The 12007-nt window shown below is 42.8% G+C and overlaps 1 annotated feature.

Annotated features, from left to right (window-relative positions):
• Window positions 915-1014: an enhancer, noted in NCBI's record as "active region_29904". NCBI's record gives its function as "activates an Ori minimal core promoter by ATAC-STARR-seq in GM12878 lymphoblastoid cells {active_cell/tissue: GM12878}" and the evidence as "EXISTENCE:reporter gene assay evidence [ECO:0000049][PMID:35858748]".

Here is a 12007-nt window from a genome sequence, read left to right as displayed (position 1 = left end):
TCAGACCCGTTATGTTCTTCTCCTTCTTTTTTTTTTGACGGAGTCTTACTCTGTTGCCCAGGCTGGGGTGCAGTGGCATTATCTTGGCTCGCTGCAATCTCCACCTCCCGGGTTCAAGCAATTCTCCTGTCTCAGCCTCCCGAGTAGCTGGGATTACAGGCGTCTGCCATCATGCCCAGCTAATTTTTGTATTTTCAGTAGAGACGGGGTTTCGCCATGTTGGCCAGGCTGGTCTCGAACTCCGGACCTCATGTGATCCACCTGCTTTGGCTTCTTAAAGTGCTGGGAATATAGGTGCGAGCCACCATGCCCAGCCTAGGTTCTTTTTCAAACCAGCTATTTCACCCTTCAGCTCCGGTATCACTCTATTATGGTTCTTATTTCCCTTAGACTGGGTTTTGCCATCCTCCTGAATCTAAATAGTCTTTGTTCCTATCCATATTCTGAATTTTATTTCTGTCATTCTAGCCAGTTCGGCCTGGTTAAGAACTCTTGTTAGAGAACAAGAGGTGCGGTCGTTTGGAGGACATATGGCCTTCTGGCCATTTGAGTTACTAGAGTTCTTGCATTGGTTCTTTCTCATCTCTGCATGTTGGTAGCAACATGCAGATGCCGAGGAAGATCAATACACCCTACAAGAGATGTCCTGTAAGGTAGATGGGCAGGGCCTGGTGTCAGCTGTGGAGGGGTGGTGATTTGATGGCTGCTAAAGGGGGAAGACAGCTTTCCAGCAGCTGAGAGGTGGCATGGGCTGCCTATCAGGTGGTTGCTTTCATTGCATTGGCTGTGTTTAACCACAATGTGGGCAACCACTTAGAGAAACTGTACAGAAGACTTAAGAGCCAGATGCATTGTTGGAGTTGACAGCATTTATGGGGACTTCCAACCCTGACATTCTCAATTTGTGCAACTCTTTGGCATTTCAAAGAAAAGGAAACAGTAAGAAACCACATGAAACTGCAACATAGATTCAGTACAGACAATAGACTTCTTTTCTGGATGTTTTCACTGGGCCAAGGCTTTGTGTAGAGTCTTTATTTGAAGCTGATGTCTTGTCTCTGGTTTCAGAGGGGGATATGTTAGTGAAGTATTTTTCGTGTTGAAGCTTTGGGGTGTGATCCAGCAGGTGACACTTAGGCTTATTGGTCAGTTGGTAGACTCTTGTCCGGTTGTGTGGCTCCCCTATGTTTCCTCTCAGTTGCAGCTGTGTTCCCTCTCAGTGCCCTGAAAGTGTGGGGTCCTCTCCCCCTTAAGTGCTGGCCATAGTTCATGACTTGGCACTCTTGGGCTGCCCACTGCAGCTCTGGGGCAATCTCAGAGCTGCTAAGGAAGAGATCTTAGTAATGGTTGTGGCCCAGGGTCGTTTGCTCGACTCCTGGGGCCTCTATGCCAGAGAGATGCAGGTCAGCAATTGCTCAGTGCAGTCAGCCCAAGATGGAGGGTTTGTGCTGTGGACCCAAGCTAGGGGTTCCCTGCCTGGTGATGAGCCACGGTGGGTGTGTGGGACCCGTGGGACACAGACTGGCCACCTCTCCTTGGGTCAACTGCAGCTTGTTGGAGGTATGGATAAGGCACTTAGGGTCTTTGTTCCTTTGTTAGTCTGAGGGTGGCAAGGGCAGTGGCAGAGAAGCTTTCAAATGCCCCTGGAGGATCTGCACAGGGAGCTGCTGAGTTTGTACTGGCTCAAGAGCTCTGGTGGCAGGGTGTCTGGAGGCCCAGGCCTGGAGAACCTGCCCGGTGAGGAGATAGGAGAACGGGTGTATCGTAAGAGTCTGGCCACTTTTCTGTAGGGCTGCTGCAGTATGCTTGGGGCCTGCTTCAGTCTTTAGTCACCTCAGATTTTCCAGAACCTGGAGGTGTCACTAGTGAAGGCTGCAAAAAGACAAAGATGGCAGCATGTCCCTCCCTCTGGGAACTTTGTCCCAGGGAGGTGCAAACCTGTTGCTGGCCCAAAGGCACCTGTAGGAAGTGGCTGGAGGCCCTAGTTTGGAGGTCCCACCCCGTGAGGAGGAAGGGATCAGAACCTGCTTTTAAAAAGCAGCCTGGCCACGTTTTGGTAGAGTAGCTGTGCTGTGCTGGGAGTGCACTTCAGCCCCTGATCGCTTCAGACCCTCTGAAGCCCAAAGGCTGGAATGGCTAAGTCACCCAAACAGCAAAGAAGCAGCCCGCCCCTCCCTCCGGGAGCTCAATCCTAGGGAGAATTAAGATCTTTGTCAGCCGGAGAGCTCAGGCAGGGGTGGGCAGAGGCCCCATTGGGAGGTCCCATCCAGTGAGGAGGAACGGGATCAGGCACCTGCTTAAAGCAGCAGTCTGGCCATGTTTTGGTAGAGGAGCTGTGCTGTGCTGGGGGATCCCTTCAGCCTTCAGCTCAGACTCCAAAGTCTGAAGGCTGGAATGGCCAAGACACCCATACAGCAAAGATGGTGGCCCACCCCTTCCCCTGGGAACTCCTTCTTAAGGAGGTGCGATGCAGCTACTGGTAGTTGGCTGGAATTCCAAGCCAGTGGGTCTTATCTTGTGAGGTGCCATGGAAGTGGGGTGTGTGGGCTGTTGCGGCTCAGCCCCCTGGGAGAAGCCTGGTTTCCCCGGGTCACTCATTCAGTCACCGCTTCCCTGTGTGGCGGGGGGATCCCCTGGCTCCATGTTGTTCCTAGGTAGGCTGTTGTCTTGCTTTTATTCGTTCTCTGTGGGTCAGGTTGTTTCCTTGATTAATCCCAGTGTGAATGCCTGGATGTTTCAGTTGAAGGTGTTGTATTTATTTGCCCCTTCTTTTCCTCTACCTGACAGCCATGCACACTAGCTGCTTCTAGTTGGCTATCTTGGACACTCCCCTCCGCCCCCCACTCTGCCATTCAGCCTTTCAAAAGAAGGAAATTTGGCTGGGCATGGTGGCTCACACCGGAAATCTCAGCACTTTGGGAGGCCGAGGCGGGTGGATCACCTAAGGTCAGGAGTTCGAGATCAGCCTGGCCAACATGGTGGAACTCCATCTCTACTAAAAATACAAAAATTAGCCTGGCATGGTGGCGGGCACCTGTAATCCCAGTTACTGTGGAGGCTGAGGCAGGAGAATTGCTTGAACCCAGGAGGTGGAGGTTGCAGTGAGAGGAGATCACGCCATTGCACTCCAGCCTGGGCAACAAGAGTGAAACTCCATCTAAAAGAAAGAAAGAGAGAAAGAAAGAAAGAAGGAAAGAAAGAAAGAAAGAAAGAAAGAAAGAAAGAAAGAAAGAAAGAAAGAAAGAAAGAAAGAAAGAGAAAGAGAAAGAAAGAGAGAGAAAAAGAAAGAAAGAAAGAAAGAAAGAAAGAAAGAAAGAAAGAAAAGAAAGGAAAGGAAAGAAAGAAGGAAAGAAAGAAAGAAAGGAAATTCTAGCTAGGCATGTTGGTATGCATCTGTAGTCCTAACTACATGGGAGGCTAAGATGAGAGGATTGCTTGAGCCCAGGAGTTCAAGTCCAGCCTGGGCAACATAGCAAGACCCCATTCCTTAAAAAAGGAAGAAAATTTTGTCACTTGCAGCAACAACATGGATGGAATTAGAGAGCATTATGCTGAGTAATATAAGCCAGAATAGAAAAGCAAATACTACATGTTCTCAATTATATGTGGGATCTAAAAAACTTGAACTCATAGAAGCAGAGAATAGAATGGTAGTTACCAGAGGCTGGGGGTGGGGTGCATGGGGAGATGATGGTTAAAAAATATAAATAGGCCAGGTGTGGTGGCTCATGCCTATAACCCCAGCACTTTGGGAGGCCAAAGTGGGAGGATCGCTTGAGGCCAGGTGTTAGAGACCAGCCTGAGTAACATAGCAAAACCCCATCTCTACTAAAAATGAAAAAATTAGCTTGGTGTAGTGGCATGCACTTGTGGTCCCAGCTACTCAGGAGGCTGAGGCAGGAGGATCACTTAAGCCCAGGAGGTCAAGGATACAATGAACCATGATCACATCACTGCACTCCAGCCTGGGCAACAGAGCTAGACCTTGTCTTAAAAAGACACACACTCACACACACATAAGCACCAACTCATTCCTTAGGAGAGATAAGGGGTTTTTTTTTTTACATCTACTGCACAGCATGGTAAATATATTTAATAATAGTGTATTGTACATTTCAAAATTGCTAAGACAGTAAATTACAAATGTTCTCACCACAAAAAATGATAAGTATTTGAGGTGATGGATATGTTAATTACTTTGAATTAATTATTACACATGGTATTCATAAATCATAATATCACTTTGTACCTCATAAACATATACAGGTATAAATTGTCAATTTATAATAAAATAAATAAAAAATAAATTGATTGAGACTTGTAAAAAATATCTAAGTCTTTCTCACATGCATCCTTAAAGCCCATTTCCACTATGGAAACCTGGGTATATAATCCTGAGTTTATTTACCATGTAAGTTCCTTCAAATGTCCCCATAAGCTAGTACCAACTGAAACTGAAACACTCAACTTTCCATAAAGACAGCAACAAAACAAGACTATGATGAGAATCCAAGTCTTTTTTTTTTTTTTTTCGGAGATGGAGTCCTGCTCTGTCCCCCAGGCTGGATTGCAATGGCACAATCTCAGTTCACTGCAACTTCCACCTCCTGGGTTCAAGCGATTCTCATGGAGCAGCCTCTTGAGTAACTGGGATTACAGGTGTGCACCACCACGCCCGGCTAATTTTTGTATTTTTAGTAGAGACAAGGTTTCACCATGTTGGCCAGGCTGGTCTCAAGCTCCTGGCCTCAAGATATCTGCCTGCCTCGGCCTCCCAAAGTTCTGGGATTACAGGCATGAACCACCACTCCCAGCCAGAACCAAGTCTTTTTCACGTTTCATTCCCCAGTGTCTAGCACAGGGCCTGGCCTGAAATAGATGATGCTCAGTGAAATTTCATTGTATTATACAACACAAGAAGGAAGAAGCAATTCTCAACCTTCCTTAGCACATGCCAAAGCATCAGCCAGTAAAGGAACTGAGAGAGGCTGTCATCTACAGCATGAATGGGAATATGGCAAGGCTTTCATTCAAGTAATTTTCTCTCACATTAGATGCAAAGTCATTACTCCTTCTAGACAGTTTCAACATTCTATAATCAACCACCAGCGGCATGGTGTGGTGGACACCTAGCAGCACCAAAAGAGCTTCCTGTCCCAAGTGGCCCCCCACAGTTGCCTGTCATGCTGCCTTATCTTCTTAGTATAGTCTTCACTCTTTAAAGGGTTAGGTTTTTTTGGGTTTTTGTTGTTGTTGTTGTTGTTGTTGTTCTGTGTGTTTTTTTTTTCTATCAAGGGTGAACATGTAGCAGAGCTAGGATCATCTGACTAAGTGGAGACAGCCCGATCTCAGCTCTTATAGCTCTTTTGTAAGCAACCTATGATTCTTCAAGCCTCTTGAATTCTGTATTACAATAGCCTGCTATGTTGGATTCAGTTAGGTATGTGCTAAGCACATGGTTCTCCTGCATAATAATGTAAGAAAACATCCTCCTAGAGTTGGTGGTCAGTCATCTCGTACTCTATGTTTATGTCTGATATCTTCCTCTGACACACCAGCAGAGAGCACGTAAGTTAAGTGACCTTTACCCATGGTTTCAGAGACATGATGGGTCCAAGGTCCTAGCTGCATAGGAAATCCAAGAGTGTAAATTTTTAAAAATTGATAGGAATTTTATAAAGCCAAATTTGAAGAAAGAGCCAAGAAAACTTATGAATGGAGAATGTCAAAAGCAGTAGACTTTAATTTACCCTATATACAAAAATTAACTCAAAGTGGATCAAATATCTAAATTTAAGAGTTAAAACTATAAAACTTGTAGAAGAAACAGAGGAGCAAATCTTGACAACTTTGAATTTGGGCATAGTTTCTTAAATCTGACACCAAAAGCACAGGCAACAAAAGAAAAAATATAGTAATTGCACTTCATTAAAATTATAAACTTTTGTGTATCAAAGGACATTATCAATAGAGTGAAAAGAAAACCCAAAGTATGGGAGAAAATACATGCAAATCACAAATCTGACAAAGGCTTAATATCCAAAATATATAAAGAACTTTTACAACTCAACAACAAAAAGACAACCCAATTTTAAAATGGGCAAAGGACTTGAATAAACATTTTACCGAATAAGATATGCAAATGGCAAAAATCACATGAAAAGATGCTCAACATCATTAGTCATTAAGAAAATGCAAATCGAAACCACAATGAGGTCCAGGTGTGGTGGCTCACACCTGTAATCCTAGCACTTTGAGAGGCCAAGGCAGGTGGATCACTTGAGGTCAGGAGTTCAAGATCAGCCTGGCCAACATGGCGAAACCCCATCTCTACTAAAAATAGAAAAATTAGCCAGATGTGTGGTGGCACGTGCCTGTAATTCCAGCTACTCGAGAGGTTGAGGTGGGAGGATCACTTGAACCCAGGAGGCAGAGGTTGAAGTGAGCCGAGATTGTGCCACTGCACTCTAGCCTGGGTGACAGAGTGAGACCTGGTCTCAAACACACACACTCACACACACATACACACACACAAAATGAGATATCACTTCTATCCTACTAGGATGACTATAGTAAAAAAAAATCAGACAGTAACAAGCATTGCTGAAGATTTGGAGAAATTGGAACACTCGTGCATTGCTGTTGGGAATATAAAATGGTGCGGCCACTGTGGAAAACAGCTTGGCACTTACTCAAAAATTTAAATGTAGAATTATTATATGATCCAGCAATTCCACTTTGGAGTATACACCCAAATGAATTGAAAGCAGAGACTCAAACAGATACTTGTACATTCATGTTCATAAGCAACATTATTCACAACAGCCAAAAGGTGGAAACAACCCAAGTGTCCATCAATAGACGAATGAATAAACAAAATTTGGTATATCCATACAGTGAAATATCATTCGGCCATAAAAAGGAGTAAGGCTCCAACACATACTACAACATTCTGAGTCAAATATGCCAGGCACAAAAGAACAAATACTATGTCACTCCACTTACATGAAAGATTTTAAATAGGTAAATTCATAGAGACAGAAATTAGATTAAAGGTTATCAGAAACTGAGAGTAGGAGGGAGGGAAGAATGAGGAGTTATTGCTTACTGGATTCATAGTTTCCGTTTGCGGGGGTGAAAAAATTTAGAAATAGTGGCAATGGTTGTACAACATTTTGAATGTAATTAATGCCATTGAGTTTTACACTTTAAAAGGTTAAAATAGCAGTCTATTTCATACGTATTTTACCACAGTAAAAAAAAAAAAAGCAGTTGCTGTGTCTGTGTTAATGGTTCTATTTGAAGTGAGAAGCCATAACAGAACCAGACGCAGCTCAAGGGCATTTTGATAGGGGACCTGAAAGAACAGTGCCAGCAACTCCAGTTTTGCTTTTGCACAAGGATGATGGTGGTTCAGTGTGCTGGTTCAGCCTTCGTCACATTCTCATCAGATGCTGCTTAGTTGAGCTTTAGGATGAGATGCATGATCCATGACTCTACGCAGGAGACCTCTTGAGGCTCTGGAAAGTGAATGAGCTCAGCATTCTTGTTAGGGGAGGGAAGAGGATGTTCCAAGGACTGTGGGTGAAGGCAACGTGTTTGTTGCCCAGGGTTATAATACATGGAGCCAAGGAGCAGATTCCAAATGTGGAGTCCTGAGGATGCCAAGATGTTAGCTGATACAGAGCACAAAACATAAATCACCAAGGCTGAAGGATTACCAGAAATATAGAACCAAGATATGAAAGCAAAAATTAAGGAGACAGGGAAGCTAACACATGAAGTGGGTTAGGGTGGGCTTGAATTGTTTCTGAGCTATCTGCCTCAGATTTTTATAGGATTCTCATGACTGACATTACATTTAAGGGCCTGAAAAGAATGGAACGTTTAAGGTATTTTTGGCATTATAAACCATCATTATTAGACTCTTTTAAGAACACTCCCTTTTAAGGAGAGAAGTAACCTGGGAAACTGACAAGAGCTGTTAGCCTGAGAAAGGAAGAATCGGGGCATGTCAATCTTTCCTCCTCCACAAATAATCAATAGAAATAACAGCATTCCTCAGACATAATAAAAGAACTTAGATGACACTTTATTATAGGCACAGAGACTTTAGAAATGGAAGACACAGCAATTGTCTGTTACATGACCACTGGATATTGGAAATTGGATACCATATGAAACAGAGAGGCTCCTGGAGTGTTGGTACCTGCTATGGAAGCCCCATCTATGGAGCAACCAAACCCAGGTGCTATTTGTCCAGGTCAGGTCTATGTCCTAAGGCTAAGAGTGATAGCAGGTAGATAACATGGGGACAGCTGAGTGAAGTTGAGGCAAAGAGTCAGAAAGAAAAACCTGTGGCACAAGAGACTTATCACACAACTGGGATGGCCACCCCTTACAATCTGTGCGATGTTTCTATACCTCATGCTTGTAAATTCAGTGCAGAGGCCATCAGGTTGTGAGACCAAGTAGATTTATCTCTTGCTGCATAGCACAGATCTGGGCCTGGAAAGAATGAAACAGTCTCTGAGTAAGAAAGGGGAGAAAGTATTAACAAAAAAGAGGAGGAGAGAGGGAGATTGATAAAAGAAAATGTGAAGGGGAACATAATTCAATCTGCTTCTTTCATAATGCCAAGGGCAAGGCTAGGCTTGCCAAAATCGCACAGGAGTCAGGGATTCAATATTTACCCAACAGTCGGTGGCTAAAATAGATTATAATATAAAACCAACTGAATTATGAGAATTACTTGAGCAGTAGAAAACTAAAATATATTAAAGTCATCCATCAGGCCCTCCTGTTGCTAGTAAATGATAATTGGCTAAATCTATTTTCTGGGGTTGCTAGCAAAGGTTGCTCTGGCTCCTGCTCTGGCAGGGAGTAAAAGGAGCAGGTCCTGGGGAGCTAGCCCTGCATACAGGACTTGGAAGAGAGGTACTTCTTTCCTGTGTATTACACAGAAGACAAGTAATAAATTATACTGGTTGTGGGTGATAGGGAGACATCAAGTCAAAATTAGAATAAGGAATACAAATGTGTTATCAACTAAAGTGTCTAGATATTTTTTGAGCCATAGGACCCTTTGACAGTTTAGGAAAAACTATAAATTTCTTTTAAAAGAATAATATTTAAGTATATAAAATAAAACATAATGAGCTACAAATGAAACCAAATATATCTCTGTACAATCATAAAAATATTAATAAGTGATACAGTAATGTATGTGTTTCCTTATTCACACATCCAATAACAAGATCTGGTGGCAGGTCTAGTAACTATTATGATTCCAAAGTAGTGATTAGCATAAAAGGTACTTTGAAGCCTCTACAACTTCTGAAATTTTATATTAAAAGATTTCTACTCCTTTCAAAGTTGCATGTACTACACGTACTACTGTGGTTCGCTGCTTATGTTCATAATATAATTTTAGTTGGACGTTAGTGAAAATGAAACTGTATTTTTTTTATACAAGTTTATAGACCCCTTGATTTTTACCCATTGACTCCTTGGGGATTTGTGCATCCAGATTAAGAACCCCTGGTAGAAGTAAAAAACAAGAGCCAAACAAGGAAGCAGGAAAAGTTACAAACAAATCTGCCTCTTTTATAATAGAGAGGGCAAGCAGGAGGTCTAAATTAAGTGCAGATACCTGTAGCGGTTTTTAAAATGTTCCCATTGTCTTAGTCCATTTGGGCTGCTATAACCAAATACTGTAAAGTGGGTGGCTTATACACAACAGAAATTAATTTCTCACAGTTCTGAGGGCTAGAAAGTCCAAGATCGGTCGGCCACGGTGGCTCACGCCTATAATCCCAGCACTTTAGGAGGCCGAGATGGGTGGATGACCTGAGGTCAGGAGTTTGAGACCAGCCTGGCCAACATGCCAATACCCTGTCTCTACTAAAAATACAAAAATTAGTTGGGCATGGTGGTGCACACCTGTAATCCCAGCTACTCGGAAGGCTGAGGCAGGAGAATCACTTGAACCCAGGAGGCAGAGGTGGCAGTGAGCCAAGATTGTGAGATCGTGACACTGCACTCCAGCCTGGGTGACAGAGCAAGACTCCAAAAAAAAAAAAGAAAGAAAGAAAGAAAAAGAAAGAAAGAGAAAGAAAGAAAGAAAGAAAAGAAAAAGAAAAGGAAAGGAAAAGAAAAGAAAAAAGGAAGTCCAAGATCAAGGCACTGGAAGATTTGGTGTCTGGTGAGGGCTCACTTTCTGGTTCTCAGATGGCACACTCCCACTGTGTCTTCACAAGGTGCAAGGAGCAAGCTAACTCTCTGTGGCCTCTTTTATAAGTGCACTAGTCCCACTTGTGACATAATCACTTCCCAAAAGCCTCACCTCCTAATACCATCACACTGATAACTAGGTTTCAGCGCATGAGTTTCGGGGACGCAAATATTCAGATCATAGCACCCATAATGCACTTGCTTGACTGAACTGAATTCAGCTAAAGGACCAGACAAAAAGCAGACAGGTTATAAATAAAAGAAGAGTGGCTCCATGTTGGTAGCTATTGAAGCTGTGTGATACATACACAGGGACTGTTTGTACCACTCCCTCTACTCATCTGTATATTTGAAATTTTTCATACTAAAATGATTTAGAAGTAATAAACACAATAAAGGGGCTAGATGCAGTGCCTCTCGCCTGTTGTCCCAACTACTTAGGAGGCTTAGGAGAGAGGATCACTTGAGCCTAGGAGTTCAAGGTTGAGGTGAGCTATGATTATGCCACTGCACTCCAGCCTGGGTGACAGAGCAAGACATTGTCTCTAAAAAAAATAATAAATTAATCTAAGTAAATTAAATAAAGGACCTGACATGTCAGGTGCAGTGGCTCGTGCCTGTAATCCCAGCACCTTGGGAGACCAAGGCAGGAGGATATCTTGAGGTCGGGAGTTCAAGACCAGCCTGGTCAACATGGCGAAACCCTGTCTCTACTAAAAAATAAAAAAATTAGGTGGATGTGGTGGCATGCACCTGTAGTCCCAGCTACTCAGGAGGCTGAGGCATGAGAATCACTTGAACCTGGGAGGCAGAGGTTACAGTGAGCTGAGATCGTGCCACTGCGCTCCAGCCCAGGAGACAGAGCAAGACTCCATCTCAAAAAACAAATAAAGATAAAAATAAAAATGAGGACCTGACATCCTGTTTGATCATCAGAATTCCTCAAATTAATTAATTCATTCACTCACCTATCTATTCATTTATTCAATATTTATTGTTGCCTCTGGCACAATGTAGGTTATAGGAAGACTGAAACAAGAGTCATGTAGGTGTCAGACCAGGAGAAACATTAAGGAGGAATCAGTTCCAGTTCAGAATGAAAGTAAGAGAATGGTAGGAGGAAACCAGGAGGCAAAGTAGAAGACTCTGAAGGAGGACATTTTGATAAGGGTGAAGTTCTTGAAAGAAAGCGAAAGAAGGTGGGGCACATAACAATGGGGCACATATTATAAGGTAACAAGCTGGCTGGAAGCAAGAATGGGGGATTGGAGAAAATGGCTGAAGACATGGGGAACTACCAATGGCAGCTTTGCAGCCTCCTTCACAACTATGTCTATCCCTGCATGGAGGAATCAACTTGGTGGCTGTTTTCCACCCAAAAAGGTTTATTCAAGAATACATCATTTGGTAAATAAAAACAAACAAACAAAAAAGTCAGGTCTCATCAGAGCTCTGTCCTTAAAACATCATTTTAAAGTTCATTATGAATCTCAAAAGAAAAAAATATGTACGTTAACTTGTGGAACAGATAATTAAAAGGAACACAGTATAAAAAGAACACAGTATAAAAGGAACAGTATAACTTGGAACTAATGAAAATCAAATGTCAGAGAGAAGAAATTAATCTCTGTTTATATTTCATTTCCTCTAACATTTGCCTAACTGAGAAAACAGCAACTAGGTTTTAATAACATTGGAAGAGCAAAAATTCCCAGGATGTAACCCTTTAAACAAGTTTTCTTCTAAAGACCATTTCAATAATGGCTTGGTAATT

Source organism: Homo sapiens, chromosome X, assembly GCF_000001405.40.
Source record: "Homo sapiens chromosome X, GRCh38.p14 Primary Assembly".
Taxonomy (NCBI): Eukaryota; Metazoa; Chordata; class Mammalia; order Primates; family Hominidae; genus Homo; species Homo sapiens.
The sequence above is the reverse complement of the archived record's forward strand: the minus strand, read 5'-3'. Positions and strand labels throughout refer to the sequence as shown.